Raw genomic sequence first — 16,064 nt, forward strand, 5'->3', positions numbered from 1 at the left:
GGAGACAGGAGTACCTTGCACAAGTGGCTCATTTGTTGGCACCAGAGGCTAGAACAAGGCACTTTCACACAGTCTGCATTGGACTAGATTGGGAAGTAGGCCCTACATTAGGGGACGAAACTCATGAGTGCCCGGGTATTTTCAGCTATTATTGGGGATAGGGACTCTGCGGGTGGCTAGAGGTACTGCTAAGCCAGAGCTCAGGAGATGCACCTAGGGCCCCAGTAGTAGGTCTCCGATAAGAATCAGGGGAATGAATATATAAATGAATGAATATATGAATGCATGTGGGGGTGTGGTCTAGCGATTACTTTATGAGCGTGACAAGGATAGGAAGAGGATGGTGAAAGCATACAGTAGTACCTGCCTGTGAAAGAAGCTGCCCGTCGACTCAGAGAGCTGCCACGGAGATTGGTGTTTTCAAGGCTGTCAGGTTCCCCAGTTGGGAGAAGGGTGGGAAGGGCTTAAGGATTTACAGAGATTGATTTAGGGGAGAACACACAGGAAGCGAAACAGCAGGAAACGCCGGGAGACAGCAGCAGCAGGACAGGATTGAGGAAGGGTAAGAGTGCGAAATGGGGTAAGAATAAAAGAAAGGAATGGACAGATGTATGCTTTACAAGGCACTTCCACGGCGAGTGACTCATTCATGCTTAGGACAACCCAGGGAGAGACATAGGTATATATTGCATTGCCAGCCTTTGGAATGCGGGATGCGGTCCAGATAAGGCCATCGCAGCTCAGAGAGGCTGTTCAGCCGCTGTTCGATTCCTCTGGTGACAAGAACACTCTACTTTTGGAAGTAGCACTTCTATTAGAGAAGTTAAAAAAAAAAAAAAAAGAAAAGGGAGATAAGAAGAAAGGTGTGGGCCCCTTGAGGGGAAAGATCTGTGAATGACAGACATTTTAGATAATTCATGGAATTGCAGAGCCAGAACGGGTCAGGCAGATCTTTTCATCTGTAAAACGAAGGGGGCAGACGATCTTCCTTTTCTCTTGTCTAATAGCCTGTGAAATCATCTAGGCAACCACCTCCCAATTTTACAGAATAAAAAACGAGGCCCGCGGGATATGTCTCGCTCAAAGTAACAGAACGCCCGAGTGGAGGGACAGGCCCGGAGCCGACTCCGCCCCGTCCGCAGGGCCTCTCGCCGCTCCGACACCTTCCCAGAAAGATAAAGAACAGCGGGAGGCGGCAGGCCCGGCGGCCTAGCTGCGAGCGCCCTGGTGTTCGAGGCCGCTTCCCGGCAGCAGTGGGAGGAACGCCCCGAGGGGAGGGCAGGAGAGGGGCGGGGAGGAGTTGAGACGGGCGGGGAAGAGTTCGGGCCTCCTTTCCCACACTTCGTTAGGACGCCGGCTGGGGCGGGCCGGCAGAGGGCGCGGGGCGGTTCCTCGCTCGGCGGGCCCGGCAGGCCCGGCGGGCTGGGGGCGCGCTGTCCCGGGCGCACTGTCGGAGCTCGCGGGCACCGGGTCGCGGCGGCCCGGGCGGCCGGAGCCGGCAGGGGAAGTGCGGCGGGCGGGCAGGCGGGCGGCCGGGAACGGGCGGGGCGGGGCGGGGCGCGAAGGGGGCGGTGCCGCGAGCGGGGGGCGGTGGCGGCGGCGGCGGTGGCGGCCGAGGAGGAGAACATGGCGGCCGCGGAGAGCGGCTGAAATGCCTGTTCTTCAGGCCGGGCGAGCGGGAGTCTGACGCGATTTGCTGAGCTCTGTCCTCCGACGGCTGCCTCGCGGCCTTGAGGGCCTCCGCCGCCTGTTCGCTGCTGCTCCCTCGAGCGGAGCCTGCGTCAGGTTCCCTCTGCATCCCCCTGCGGGGGGACCCCTGCTCCGGAGGAGGGGGCCGGAGAGCCGCGGCGCCGGGCCCGAGGAGCGGCGGAGGCCGGGGCGGCGCCGCCGCCACGGTCGCGGACGAGTGCGGCGCCGGTGAGCGGGGCCCAGAGGCGGCGGCGGCAGGTGAGTGGCGGGCTGCGGGTGCGGAGCCTCCCGGTGGGTGCAGCTGTCACGAGCCGCGCGGCCGCGGAGGCCCTAGGGGGCGGGGAGCAGCTGGCGCCCCTCCGCCCCCTGCTCTCCTTTCTCCCGCTCCATCCTCCTCCCACTTCCCCGAGTTCCCCTCGCGGCCCGGCGCGGCTGGAGGGGGCGGAGGTCGCAGCTGTCACGGGCACCAGCTGGGGGCTGCTCCCCGCCGGGGGAAATCGCTGCAGCAGCGACTTCTCTCCGCCTCTTTTCCAGTTGCCCTAGTTAGCGCGGAGAGGGCGAGCATCCGCGGAGGGGGTGCGAGCTGCGCGGCCGCCTGCCCGGCGTGGGGAGCGGGCGCCCCGGGCCGCCGCCGAGAGGGGGAGCCGGAAGTCGGCGCGGGCGCCCCTCGGCCCCGACGACGCCGTGACCTTGGCCGGCCCGCTCACCTCTCGGAATCTCGCCTGCCGGGACCGCGAAATGGGGGCGACCGCGGCGTCCCTCTCCGTCGGCGCAGCCCTCGACGGCGCTTGGGTTTGACCCCGGCGCGCTTGCTCGCCCCTTCTCCCGAGAAGGGGTTTCGGAGGTAGACATGGGATGGATACTGGACATGTTCCTGTCGCGGCCCGGGTTTGGTCCCCTTCCTGGGATTCAGCCGAAAGGGCCGAGGAAGGGAAGCAAACATGTTGACGAGGCGATTGGGAGGTGGGGTTGGTTAGTGGGCAGTGACAGAATTCGGGCCGCTCTCTAGTCCCTTGTAAAAGACCTGAAAAAATCGGACACCCAGGGTCTCCAGTCCTTACTACCCAGCTGTGGTGGCTGCTTTTTTATTTTATTTAAAAGCAGTTACCCCCATGGGTAGACACTGCCCAGTCTGACGACGTTAGAGGGAGACGGAGGGGTTGACAATACAGCCTGTGTGTGTGTGACAAGGACAGGCCACGGTGTTGTGTCCGGAGAGTTTCATGGGGAGGAAAACTTTAAGCTGGAGGATCTGTTAGCCTCTCATGCTTGGCCCTCCTCGTTTCTTGTAGAGGTGTTGAACAGGCAGGTGTCCTTGTGCAGAAGGTGACATTTTTTCTTCGGAGACGGTGAGTTTTTAATGTCGAGTGTGATGTTGGTGAGTAAAGGGTTCTTGAGTGAATTGCAGTCCCAGCACCCTCTGTGGATGCCAAGAGGAATCTCTGTGGCGATGATTTGTGAGGGCTGGTGCTTACATTTCAGTGATTAAGAAATCAAGTGTCTGCTTAAAACATTACTGCCGTGAAGCGTAGATTATATGATACAGTTGAGGGATGGATCTCAAGGGTTAAATTTGTTTGAGGTTTGTCTCCTCTTCTGGAATTGGTTGGAGGCTAGTCTCAAAAAAAAAGCAAACAAAACAACAACAATAACAACGAAAGTTGGCCAGAGGGGCCTCCTATGATGTTGTAGGAAGGGGGTCGGATTTCTTCATGTTGAGAATAATGTGAAAAGAAAGTATTTGCTTAGGTCTCTTGGATCTTCAACTAGAAATAGTTTTGGGTTAAAGGTAGCAGTGGGGTTTGATTCAGCTTAACAAATAGGCATTCCTTGAACTATTTGCCATAAATTAGATAAAATGGAAGTGTTTCTGTTTTATCTCCTGTACTTTGTGGAAAGGTCTAATTTGGTTTTGTGAACGAATGTCCGAAATGTTTTATATTTCTTCTTCAGACTCTATGCTTTGGGAACAGTGGGTCACAGAGAGGGTCTGAGTTGGGAATATATGGTTTAGAGAGAAAATAGAGGACTGCTGCTTATAAGAACAGGTGTTTAGTTTGATTTTTGTAGATATTTTCTACTGGTTATTTAACAACATTGAAGTTTGCTTTATAAGGTGCAAAACGTGAATTTTACGTAGCTTACACTTGATCTCTTCCTTATTTCTCTCAGAAAACCTGTAGGATTGTGCCTATTAAATTGCTTTTTGTGTGGTTTAAACCAAGAGAGTATTTTAGATCTGCAGTGGTTTTATTGGAAAAAAAAAAAAAGTGCTTGATGGAGCTAATGGTGATTGTTTCACTTAAACTAGGATTATATAGACAATGCTTCTTCCTGCCTCTTTCTGCGAACATTTGTTTTTGTTTCTCCCTCAATTCCAGGGTTTCATTTCTAGAAATCTGGGCTGCAAACAGAAGCAGCAGTTTGTATAATCCCAAGAACTTGCTTATGCCAGGAAGCTGTAAGGGTAGCATGAAGCGGGTGTGATGTAAAGACACTGCTACTACTTAAGACATTTAACTGTTGAGGGAGTCTAAGGTCAAACTTTAATTTTTGTTGAATTTCCTGTTTTCTGCTTATGTGTTAATCTTTTGGTGGGCAGAAGATTGGGTTGCTATGGTGCTAACTGGTGTATATTGTGAAAGTGCTGGCAACATTTCATGCTTTTACTCTATAGGGAAGGGTGGTAAACAAGCCTAAATAATTTAAAGATGTTGTTCTCAGAATGGAATGTTCTGTGCATGTCTTCTTGATCCTGCTAATCCAGTGAGCGGTCTTCACTAGGACTAAATGTTGAGTAAGTGATGAGGGTGGTATAGAGGTGCTGAAAGGTGGAGTGGTGGAGAGAGGGTATTGGGCATTTTCTTGAAATTCTTTTCCCCAATTCTGTATAGGGAATCTGTATACTAGACTGTGATTTATAATTGTTTTTCAAGGATGTTTTAGTTCTCCCTGCTTGGTTGTCATCAATTTCATATACCTCCTCTTAGATACTACCTCTGTTCCGTACTTTAGTTTGTCTTTTTTGCTGCGTCTCCCAAGGACTCCACATTGTTTGAATGTTATGTTGCATATCTTATGGAGTTGGCTGGCCTTAAGCCATGTGGCTTAACATAGTTTTCATTATAGGGCAGGTGTGGGAGGTCAATACAACGCACAACACGGAGTAAAATCTAAGTCATGGAGCATAGGAGATCCCCGGGACGCTCATGATTGTTTTGGCATTGGTTTTTGCCTTTTAAATATGATTATAACAGAAATTCTCAGAGGACCATCAGCTGCTTTCCTGGCAGAGGTCCAAAAATGTTTTGGAGGGTTCCATTTTGCATTACTTGCAAATATTGGATGCTGTGGTCGGTGTGGGCTCGGGTGAAATCCATGTGTTTCAGGAGGTGGATGTCAGAACACTGTATCTGATCTGGGCTGCAGAACCGTATAAATTTCTCCCTATCTTAGATTAACTTTCCTACCCATTTGGGAAGACTAGACTGTAGGAAAGGACTTTTTAAAATTGCTTCTTTCCCAGATTAGCAGTAGTTTAGCCGTTGGTGATTGGCAACTAAGGATAGGCCTCATGTTCTATTCTTAACATTGAAGATGAGGTCTAGTCATTTAAAACCTTTCCTTTTCTCTTTATATTTTAGTTAGACCTTGTGCCTTTCAACATTTGGTGTCAGAGGTCATAAAATGGCCTAGTGGCAACTAGGTACCAATGTTGGTTGCTTCATTTCATAAGGAGATGAAGGTGTTTTTTTTTTGTTTTTTTTTTTTAATAGCTTAGTTCTGGAAAATGGTTTGTGGGCTATAGTATTTGGATTAATGTATAGAAATGATTATTATATATTTCTGCAGGATACATGGCTGAATAAGGGAAATTATTATAAAACGCTGATACCAACATATAAGTCCAATTCCATAAGTTTAAGTAAAGTGAGTTGTATCCATGCTTCTTCCCCCATAACCCCATCTGCAACACAGAATTTTTGAGGCTCCTTGGAGTGATAGGCTTTTAGAAAAGCTTAGTATGGTTATCATATTTAAAAGATAAGTAGCTTATGCCAAAATAGAAGCTCTAGTCACTCGAGGAGTTATGGAAGACTCACCCTCATCTTGGATATATTTTGTTCTTACCACTCCCCGAGAGTATGTTTTAGTGTGTGGAGGGCAGGGATGTTTGGTTTTACTGAGTAGCCCTGACCTGACCATTAGGCACAGACAGGCCAGACTCATAAAAATAGGTGCAAGCACGGAAGCAAAACGCACCCATTATCAGGACCAGAATTCTAATTGTACTGGATTATCCAGTTTTTCCAGAGTGATGCTTCATTTTTGCCCTTTCAGCTTATAATTGTGGGGCAATTTTAAAGCATCTTTTAGAAAAGAAACTCTGACCAGACAGACAGAGGTGTCCTAGCTCTTCCAGATACTTAGGTTGATGTAGCCTTGAGCTGTTTAACCACACTAAACTTCAGTTTTTATATTTAAAATTGGAGTAACGTACTTGTCCTCATATTGTAATCTTTAAAATTATTAAATGTGTTTAGCATATGATTGGCACATAGACATTAATGACTAACAGGTATTTCATTAGCGAATTCATCACCAAATTCTCGCATTCTTTTCTTTGTAATTTCTCAAATTTTTTCCTTTATTTCTGGTTCTGCAATCTGGTCCTCCTGTCATTTGCACATGGAGTAATGGGAGTCACATTGACTCTGTGGGCCTGAGTTTCTTTATCATTAAATGAGCATGTTGGTCTAATTTCACATTTCTTCTTGTTTTAAAATTCTGTGATTTGTAGGTTTATAGCTGTTTGCTTGCATGCATTTACCTCTCTAATTTGTCCTACACATAATGCTGAAGAAATTCCCTTCTAAAAAAATTTTTTTATGTTATTGTTTTCAGAGGAGATTTTCTGTGGGCAAATTTATCAAATGTAAATCATTTAAACTGATTCTTTCATTTCCCATTCCAGAAAATTTGCTGTAGATGGCATATGCAGAAATACTTCGCAAACTGTAAAGTGCTACGCAATGAAGAAAGTATTATGATAATCATAGATATCTTGCGTCTTTGCTTTTACATGTTCCATTTTCTTCATTTAAATTGGATTTCCTTTATGTTCTCGTGACCTTCAAAAACAGCATCAAAGCTGGTATGTTTTCAAGAAAGCTTGATTTTTATCACTCCCTTAGCATTAGGTACTCTGTTCTGTATAATAAACTTCTCTTTCTCTCTCTTTCTTTTGAGAGAGATTCTCTTTTTAGTGTGTGTTGATTGGTTTTCCTAAACAGATTGGAAAACGCTTGAGATGCCAGGAACTACAACATTTAGAGTTAAAGAGCCTTAAATGATCATTTAGGACAGCCTTCTTAATATTACAGCTGAGCAGACTAAGTCCATGCAGATGTAGTTGGGAATAGGGTTTCTTTATGAGAGTTACTTTTTGTATTTAAAGTTACAATATTACAAAGATATTTTAAATAATAAGAATTCCTGTAAGCTTTTGAGTAATGTGTAAGCTAGGAGGAAAGGAGCATTTTTATTTTTTGACCAAAATATGACTCTCAAATATTGTAAAAAGGTATTAATTAGGAATTAATTAAGACCGTTTTCTCAAAAACTACAAAAGTACCTGTAGAAAAACGTCTGCTTTTCTTGTAAGGCCCTCATTCATAGTCAGCAAATATTTATTGAGTGTTGTCTCTGAGCCAGGTACTGTGCTAGCTCTACATATTACATTTTATAAATGAGGAAACAAGGCTCAGGGAAGTTAAGTGGCTGGCGTAAGATTGCACAGCTTATAGGTGTTAGGGATGACATTTGAGTTCAAGCCTACTGAGTGGAAATCATATTCATACCTTTCAATTGGCTTCTCTTCAAGCATGTTCGTCACACTTGGCCACATTATACTTTTTTTTTTTTCTTTCTGGACTTTCTTTCTCTTGAATACCTGTGTTGTGGAGACTCCTGCAGTCTTGTTCCTTTCTGATGACCCGGGAGCCATATATACCAGTTACTTGATGAAAATGTCACTTTAAGATTCTTGTGGGCTGGGCGTGGTGGCTCACATCTGTAATCCCAGCACTTTCAGAGACCAAGGCAGGCAGATCATGAGGTCAGGAGTTCGAGACCTGGCCAATATGGTGACACCCTGTCTCTACTAAAAATACAAAAAATAGCCGGGTGTGGTGGCGCAAGCCTGTAGTCCCAGCTACTCAGGAGGCTGAGGCAGAAGAATTGCTTGAACCAGGGAGGCGGAGGTTGCAGTGAGCCGAGATCGCGCCATTGCACTCCAGCCTGGGTGACAGAGCGAGACTCCATCTCAAAAAAAAAAAAAGATTCTTGTGCTGTTTCTGGTCTCACCTTTGTACTTCAGTAATGTTGATTCTTTGGTGCTTCTATCCAGGTAAGGTTATCTTTGGTTGGTTTTGGATTCTTAGCCATAAAATTCTGCCTCTCAAGTTTTGTTGGTATTTAAATAGCTAAAGCTTAGTGTGGTTTGGTTTTGTTTTTATTTTTTTGGAACAAATTGCTTGGTCATTCTCTGTGTTTCCACTTGTAATTTGAATGGTTGATTTTATCTTAAAATTCCAGTTTGCCTATATAGTTAAAACATTTACATACTTTTATTATCAAGCATAGATTTGATTATTTAACAGTAGGTATTCTATTGTGAATGTATGTATGTATATAAACATATCACATCATATTTGACCAGATAGTTGAAGGATGAAATGTCCTTGAGTTTTGAAAACATCTGTATGTGTAATATTGACTTTACTTTGGTGAATTTGTTTGTAAGAAACAAAAAGTTATTTGTTCTGCAATGTCTAATATCTCCCTCTCCATTCTAAATGGTACAGGTAGTCTGTAATTGAATTTCTAAGTAGCTACTCAATCATTCGGTCAAGACGTAGTTATATGAGTACGTACTTTGTTCAAGGTGCTGTGCTGTAAAAAGATAGTGGTTATTGGGAAATTAACCGATAAAATATAGATCCTGTTCTTAAGCAGATTATGACCTGAGAGAGGTGATAAGACAAACATACAAATACCTATAATAGTAATTGAATGTGATGAGTGCTGTGAGACAGGTCCTGAAACAGTGCTTTGAACATTCAGGGAGAGGGAATGATTATTGTATTTTCATTTGAGAAAAATCAGGGCAAGTTTTATGGAGGACTTGGTGGTAGACAAAAGCATTGAGGGCAGGGGATGATTTCTTTAAGAATAGAGACAAGGAGAACAGTATGTTCAGGAAGATTAAATAGCAAAGATGAAAAGACGGAGTAATGCAGGGGAAAGTGCAAGGAGTGTGGCATCAGCTGAAGTGGGAGAGGGAAGCATATCGTCTAGGTGTAGTAAGAAAACATTGGTGGATTTTAATGGAGGGAGGTGGTGGGGAGCAGTATGTAGTAAGTATGTAGATATGGATGAAAATGAGAAATGTCAATTTTCCAAATTTACGTGGATCTTTTCTTGGCAGGTTTTATACCCCAAATTTCATATTTTTTGTTTTTGAAATGATTCCATATGTAAGGCTTACCCACATTGGGAACTTATTCACTCATTTTTATGTATATTTAAACACAGATTATATGGTTTTTTTTTTGAATAGAAGTTGGTACAAAATCTTTTTCACTGCCTTATACTTTTTTCGAATTAACTTTTTTGTTTTTTACTTTTGATTATGAATTATGCCTTAACCTACATGTGATATGAGATATGCATATTGCATGATACTTGCCCAAGAGTTAGCCAGTTGATCCAACATAATTTATTAACATATTCATTTTAATAATTCCCTACTATTTTGAAGTCTACATTTTGATGTTTCTATACTCCCTTTTTTCTGATTCTGCATTTCTTTATTCCAAAAATAGATACATCTATTTAATATGTGGCAGTTCCTTACTGTTTTATATATTGTTACTGATAAGGAAAATCCTGCCATCAACCTTAAAAAAAAATTTTAACCTCCCAGTGATTCTTAGATGTTGATTTGAGTTTATTAAATATATAGATGAATTTTGGACCAACCAGGATTGCAATATTCCAACATTCCTCCAGCATTGTTCTATGGCCCTTTGTTTATCAGATCTAATTTCATGCCCTCTAAATGTGCTTTATATTGTTCTTAGTGTACTTCTTTTCCATTTTATCTTCTATTTCATACCATTGACTTTTTTTTTTAAGCAGTAAGTATTCTTTTAAACAGTGTATTATCACTTGGCATTTTTTAAGATGATGCAGTGGACTTGTTTGTTCGGTGTAAAAATGTCTCTTTGTATAAATATAAGTGTATCTGACTGTATAAATGAGATTGGTCATACAAGTTGGAAGCCCCTGGCTCTCATTTATAGTTCATGATTTATTTTACTGATTTATTTATGCCTTGCCATGTTCCAAAAAGGATTTAAGGCAGGATGTGTCTTGAGGAGTCTTGGACCTTGTTCCAGCCCTGTCTATTATTTGACTGATGCCCCTAGCCAACGTTACTCGTTACACGGAGGGAACAGTGTTGAAGACAACTAGTGTCACTGAATGTGCTGTGGTGTGTCTTTTGCCAAACTGGTAGTAATTCAGAGATGATACAGTGTAATTGGGGTACCTTTAAAGATAAGTCCTTTAAACCTTGATAGCATACAACAGAAATTGGCTGGAAGTATCCCTTCAAGTATCCCTGCTGGGTAGGCTGATAAAGAGCCTTAACTCTTGGGACCCCAGGCACTTTTAGCCCGGTAGTTTCTTTTTTTCTTTCTTTCTTTCTTTTTTTTTGAGAAGGAGTTTCGCTCTTGTCGCCCAGGCTGGAGTGCAATGGCGCGATCTCGGCTCACTGCAACCTCCACCTCCCAGGTTCAAGTGATTCTCCTGCCTCAGATTCCCTAGTAGCTGGGATTACAGGCATGTGCCACCATGCCTGGCTAATTTTGTATTTTTAGTGGAGACGGGGTTTCTCCATGTTGGTCAAGCTGGTCTTGAACTCCCAACCTCGGGTGATCCGCCCGCCTTGGCCTCCCAAAGTGCTGGGATTACAGGCGTGAGCCACCGCGCCTGGCCAGTAGTTTCTTAACATTAAATTATCCGCAAAATGGAAGAAATACTAGAGGTCTGTGAAGATGTTTCTTCTCTTTCAGTCTGTTGTGGTGGTTTGTAGTTTACAGGGGCTTGGGTAACTGGATTTTTAGGTTTATTATTTTAAATAGTAGACTCAACACTATTTTGTATTGCAGTAGAGATCACTTATGCAGATCTTTTTAATACCATTTCATAGAGATTAAGTGGTCACCTTGAGGCAGAGGAGTTAAGAATGATCTAACTTAAAGATGACTTACTCAGTATTTTTTCACAAAAAGACAAATGTCCCAAGTTTGTTGGTCCTTTTTGTGAAACGTGGCTATAAGTGCTATGTTACCTAGCAAATAAACACACTTAATCTGCCCCTTTGAGATAATAGGGTAAGTTCTTAACAGTGATTCAAAAAGTAACTACCTTTCAGAACAACAACAAAAAATTTAATGCTGTAGGGAAAGGATATTGAAAATGGATATTTAGAATTTTTCCTGTTATGGAATTTAATTGTTGAAAATTATATGTGTTAACTTTAAGAGCTTTTTTTATATGTATACTTGAACTTGGAAACAGAATTTTCTAACCTGTATAAAAATCTTTTAAAAGAGCTGTTTAGTGATTTTGAGCCCATCTGCTGAAAACACAAAAAGGCAATACCATCTGATTAGTTTATAAGAACAACTGATTGCCATCAGAAGGTATGGAAATGCACTAGCTGAATTTTAGCAAAAACCTTTGCATAAATGGTGAATGGGATTGGAAATTGAATATCATGTTTTATTCAGTGCACCCAGTAATGGAGTTCTTTTGGTTTTATTCATATTTGTGAGGTAACATTTTTTCAGCTATGATAACCATTAAAACCAAATAAAATAGTTATATCTCATAAAAATGAACCGAATATAGAACTAGACCTTCAAGTTGTTATATTACAAAGTATGAAAGCAAGATATAAAAATAACAAACCATGTTCATTTACATTGCTGTCACCAAAAGTAGTGAGTGGTATTAATATAATAACAATATTAGGAAAAGCACAAAGTTTTTGTGTCATCAATAAGAAAAGTAAATGTTTAAAAATTTGTTTACTTGCTATAATATTCTTTTTAATTTCCTTTTTTGTATATGCCATATCTACATAATTTATTGATTTGGTGTGCAATATATACAAATTATAAATAAGTATAATGGCTTCCTATTCATAAACTTTTAAACCATGAGATATGTGATAAAAATGGCTATCATGATTCTATACCAGAAGTTCCTAACCTGGGGTTCATAGAATAAGAGCCCCTAGATAGGCTTTAGGGGATCTGTAAGCACTCTGAAATTGTATGTAAAATTTTGTGAGTCTATATATTTATCTGGGGAGAGGGTCTAGAGCTTTCACCAAATTTCTGAAAGGGTCCATGACCTCCCCCAATGGTTTAGGATCTCTGTTTTTGTGGACTGGGACCTCAGTAACTCTACTCATCCAGTTGTACCCTCTTGCCAAGTTTGATGGATATATCTGATGTCATTACTCAAGCCCACCGTATGACTAGATGTGCAGTCTGTTTTTCCACTTTGCAACAGATGTGATTGCAGTGCCTTTGGCTTTTACAGGTGTTTGAGTTCTGTCTGTTTATTGCACAACTACCTGGCCCTCCATCCCTTGGCTGCTTTTATATATGTTATTTTCCATCTATATCCCCCTAACCCCCAATTAAAAAGAGTGGACCTATTGTATGGGTGTAGAGACAGGAATATATATAAAGAGCCCAGTTTCAATTCACTTCGCTTCAAGTATCCCTGCTGGGTAGGCTGGGATTCACAGTTGTGCTTTTGACCTATCTTTAGCATCTGAATTTCAGCTTTCTAGAATCCTTAGAGTCTGATTTGACATATGCTAAAAACACTTTGCAAGTTTTGTAGGCTCTTTTCTCCTCACTGACATTCTAGTTCAGGCTTAATTATTCTTTTTTTTCTTTTGGGGCTTAATTATTGGTCAAACAATTAATTAATTGGTCAAGCAAAGTGGTCCCACTCCCCAGTGAGTTCCTTCTTCATATGTCCCAAATTTTGATTCGGAATGATTATCCTAATTTTTACTTTAATGGTACTGTTTTGCTCAGAAACCTTCAGTGGTTCCTCATTGCTGTCAAGATAAAGTTGTTCCTTAGCCTGGCATTTAAACCTTTCCAGTGTTTGGCCCCAGCTTTCTTTTCTGGGTTCATTTCCCACTAGTCTGCCCCAGTAAATTGTGTTTTGAAATAAAATTGTCAATTTTTTGTCCTCTAAACATCTCTTGAGCTTTTCTCTTTCTACCTCTTTATATGTTATTTTCCAAGGAATGTTCTCCCTTAATCTAGTCTATGCTTTTTGAAATTCTACCTATCCTTTACAGCTCAACTCAGATTTCACCTTGCTTATTAAGTGTTCAGACCATAAAATTTAAAAGTAATCAATTCCTCCTGTGAACTCTCAGTATTTATTTTCCTTGTTATTCGCTTGGTACTTTATATGTACAACCTTGTACCTTATGAAATTTTTTGTTTTTGTGTGTCCTGTCTCCTGTATTAGGGTATGAGAATGGCAGATGGGGATTAGGTTTTATATTTTGTCCTCTGCAGTGTCTTACACACATAGATATTACAATATTTGTCAAGTCATATTGATTAAAGCATAATGCTACTTATGAATGTACTTAGAGAAATAGACCTTTTGTGGGTGTGAATGTGTGCGTGTTCCTGGAATACTCACAGATAAACTAGGGATTTTCTTGACTAGTTTCAGGGTATTTAGGGAATTAAATTGGAAATCTGGTATTGCTTGGAGAACGTGTTGTTCTACAACATAAGAAGTTGGCTGTAAAGGGATATCTCAAAAGTCTGGTGTAGCTTGGTGAGTAATTGTTCTCCAGTGTAGAGCTCTACCTGTCCTGGGTGACAGAAAAACTTGTGTTCCTTCCTCTGTCTTCTTAACAGTGATGGGAACACTAATTCCTCATGTATTGAGGATTACTACATTTCTGTTTTAATTTTTCAACACAGTCTTCACAATAAAATACAAATTTTAATTGAATACCTGTTGTTTGATAATATGGGGCACCATAAAGTAGTTATATTTTAGGATTCTTGCCTTTCAAGGAGATTATAACCCCTATAAGGGAGTCTCATTTGCTATAAATCATACATGAATTTAAAAATAATATACAATACAAAATATGTCACATGAGAGTGTATGGCTTAGTTTTTAACTGAGATATATGGAAACTTGTCTAGCACTTATTTCTTCACTCACGTGAAATTTTTTATCATGTATACTTGTCTCTGTTTTTTTTTTTTTTTTTTTAAGACAAGAGTCTTGCTCTGTCGTCCAGGCTGGATGTGGTGGTGTGATCTTGGCTCACTGCAACCTCTGTCTCCTGGGTTCAAGCGATTCTCCTGTCTCAGCCTCCCGAGTAGCTGGGATTTCAGATGTGTACCACCACACACAGCTAGTTTTTGTGTTTTTAGTAGAGACGGGGTTTCACCATGTTGGCCAGGCTGGTCTTGAACTCCTGACCTCAGGTAATCCGCCTGCCTCAGCCTCCCAAAGTTCTGGGATTACAGGCGTGAGCCACTGCGCCTGGCTACTTGTCTCTGTTTTTACATGTATCCTTCGCTTCCAGATTGTAAATTATAGTAGATGGAGACTTGTACCACAGTGCTTTCATAATGCTCTACCCACAGTATACATACATAAGTTTGTTACCGATGATACTAGGAGCCTAGTATGATCTGGGTAGGCTTTCTAGAGGAAGTGGATTTGAATTCAATTTGTGGGCTTTGGAATGTTGCTTATGGCATAGTCCCATGGAACATGATAAAAGCGTTTTTAGTTAATAAAATAGGTTTGGTGTACCATCTAGAACATGAAGCCTCCTTGGTTACTGTGGCTTTGGCCCTAAAGTGTCCCACATCGATTTTTCTTATAGACTATTGGCTAAAAGTAGTCATAGGATACTACTTAAGGGGCTAGGAAGTGTGGGTAAGAACATGAATATTTGGTGAGGAGTAAATGATTTTGCCTTACTATAGCAGAATTGATTTTCTTTAGTGGTGAATACCAAAATTGGTAGACCCTGCTTGGAGTTATTGAAGAAAAGAAGAATTGCTTTTATGTGTCAACCTAAATGGAATTTTTATTATTAAATTTATTTGTGAAAAGAACTTACAAGCACTGAATGGTAGCCTTTGGGACAATTAAAGGAGAAACTTTACTAGTGTGTCTATTTTAGGGGTAAGTATTATGAATTGTTTTAGTTTGCTACCATCTTTAGAATGGATATTTGAAACAGAAAGTGAATATTTGGCTTCAGTATACCTGATCCAGGACTTTCCTACATATATGGTTTAACTGGTAAGATTTCAGGTAAGAAAAGTGAGAGAGGGAGTAAAGGGCTTAGATACTTTTGGAGACTTTTGCTGTCTGAGAAGTTCACAAAATTTCTCTAGTATCCTTGGAGGTCATTTTCCCCCTGTTATCAACATATTGCTAATTAATTAAAACCTGTTTTCTCCATTTTTTGTTTGCCTTTCTAATGCTTGGTTTGTTAAGGACTATTGGGTGGTGGTTAAAATAGTTGGCCAACTATTGGTGTTGGCCAAGTTTGCAGAACTACTAGGAAGCTTAGATCCTTACTTGTCCATGAGGCTTGTTTTTTCCCTGTTTTATTCCTAAAGTCATCAATCCTGAACTTTTTAAACCTTAGACTTTCTGACTGTATTCCAATATTTTTTTCTTTTTTCTTTTTTTTTTTTGAGACGGAGTTTTGCCCTTGTTGCTGAGGCTGGAGTGCAATGGGGCAATCTCGGCTCACCGCAACCTCCGCCTCCTGGGTTCAAGCGATTCTTCTGCCTCAGCCTCCCAAGTAGTACAGGCATGTGCCACCATGCCTGGTTCATTTTGTATTTTTAGTAGAGACGGGGTTTCTCCCTGTTGGTCAGGCTGGTCTTGAACTCTCAACCTCAGGTGATCCACCTGCCTCGGTCTCCCGAAGTGCTGGGATTACAAGTGTGAGCCACTGTGCTTGGCTATTTTTTCCTTTTTAAAATTAAATAATGAACCATATAAAATACATGATGACATTTTAATAACAAATTCAAAGAAATGGAAGTATATAGAGTTAAAAAGTGAAAGTCTCTGTCTTGAAGACTTTTTTTTATGGTAGCTGTTAATTTAGGCTGTGTAGTAAACACCCCTCCCCCCATTCTTTTTAATTTTTTTAGGTCATAGCATCCTTCCCTTTGGCCCAAGGGATGGGCATGTGACTCAGG

General features: G+C 41.7%; 1 protein-coding gene across 13 annotated transcripts in view, besides 3 other annotated features; it reads left to right on the forward strand.

The window, feature by feature from the left end:
* Positions 1,252 to 1,591: a silencer, noted in NCBI's record as "silent region_11232". NCBI's record gives its function as "represses an Ori minimal core promoter by ATAC-STARR-seq in GM12878 lymphoblastoid cells {active_cell/tissue: GM12878}" and the evidence as "EXISTENCE:reporter gene assay evidence [ECO:0000049][PMID:35858748]".
* Positions 1,569 to 1,727: a silencer, noted in NCBI's record as "fragment chr2:24714093-24714251 (GRCh37/hg19 assembly coordinates)". NCBI's record gives its function as "represses an EF-1alpha promoter that drives an FKBP-Casp9 reporter gene in an ReSE screen in K562 erythroleukemia cells {active_cell/tissue: K562}" and the evidence as "EXISTENCE:reporter gene assay evidence [ECO:0000049][PMID:32094911]".
* The window catches only part of NCOA1 (nuclear receptor coactivator 1), a 279,449-nt gene continuing 264,983 nt past the window's right edge, over positions 1,599 to 16,064 (forward strand). For 8 of the 13 annotated variants that reach the window (XM_047446155.1, NM_001362950.1, NM_003743.5 and 5 more), the window contains exon 1: positions 1,599 to 1,947. The gene's annotated coding sequence lies outside the window, so the exon portion shown is untranslated. Of the gene's footprint in view, positions 1,948 to 2,221; positions 2,534 to 5,461; positions 6,845 to 16,064 lie in introns of those variants that run through there. The other 5 variants (NM_001362955.1, NM_001362952.1, NM_001362954.1 and 2 more) reach the window with 3 other exon arrangements.
* Positions 1,882 to 2,371: a silencer, noted in NCBI's record as "silent region_11233". NCBI's record gives its function as "represses an Ori minimal core promoter by ATAC-STARR-seq in GM12878 lymphoblastoid cells {active_cell/tissue: GM12878}" and the evidence as "EXISTENCE:reporter gene assay evidence [ECO:0000049][PMID:35858748]".

Source organism: Homo sapiens, chromosome 2, assembly GCF_000001405.40.
Source record: "Homo sapiens chromosome 2, GRCh38.p14 Primary Assembly".
Taxonomy (NCBI): domain Eukaryota; kingdom Metazoa; phylum Chordata; class Mammalia; order Primates; family Hominidae; genus Homo; species Homo sapiens.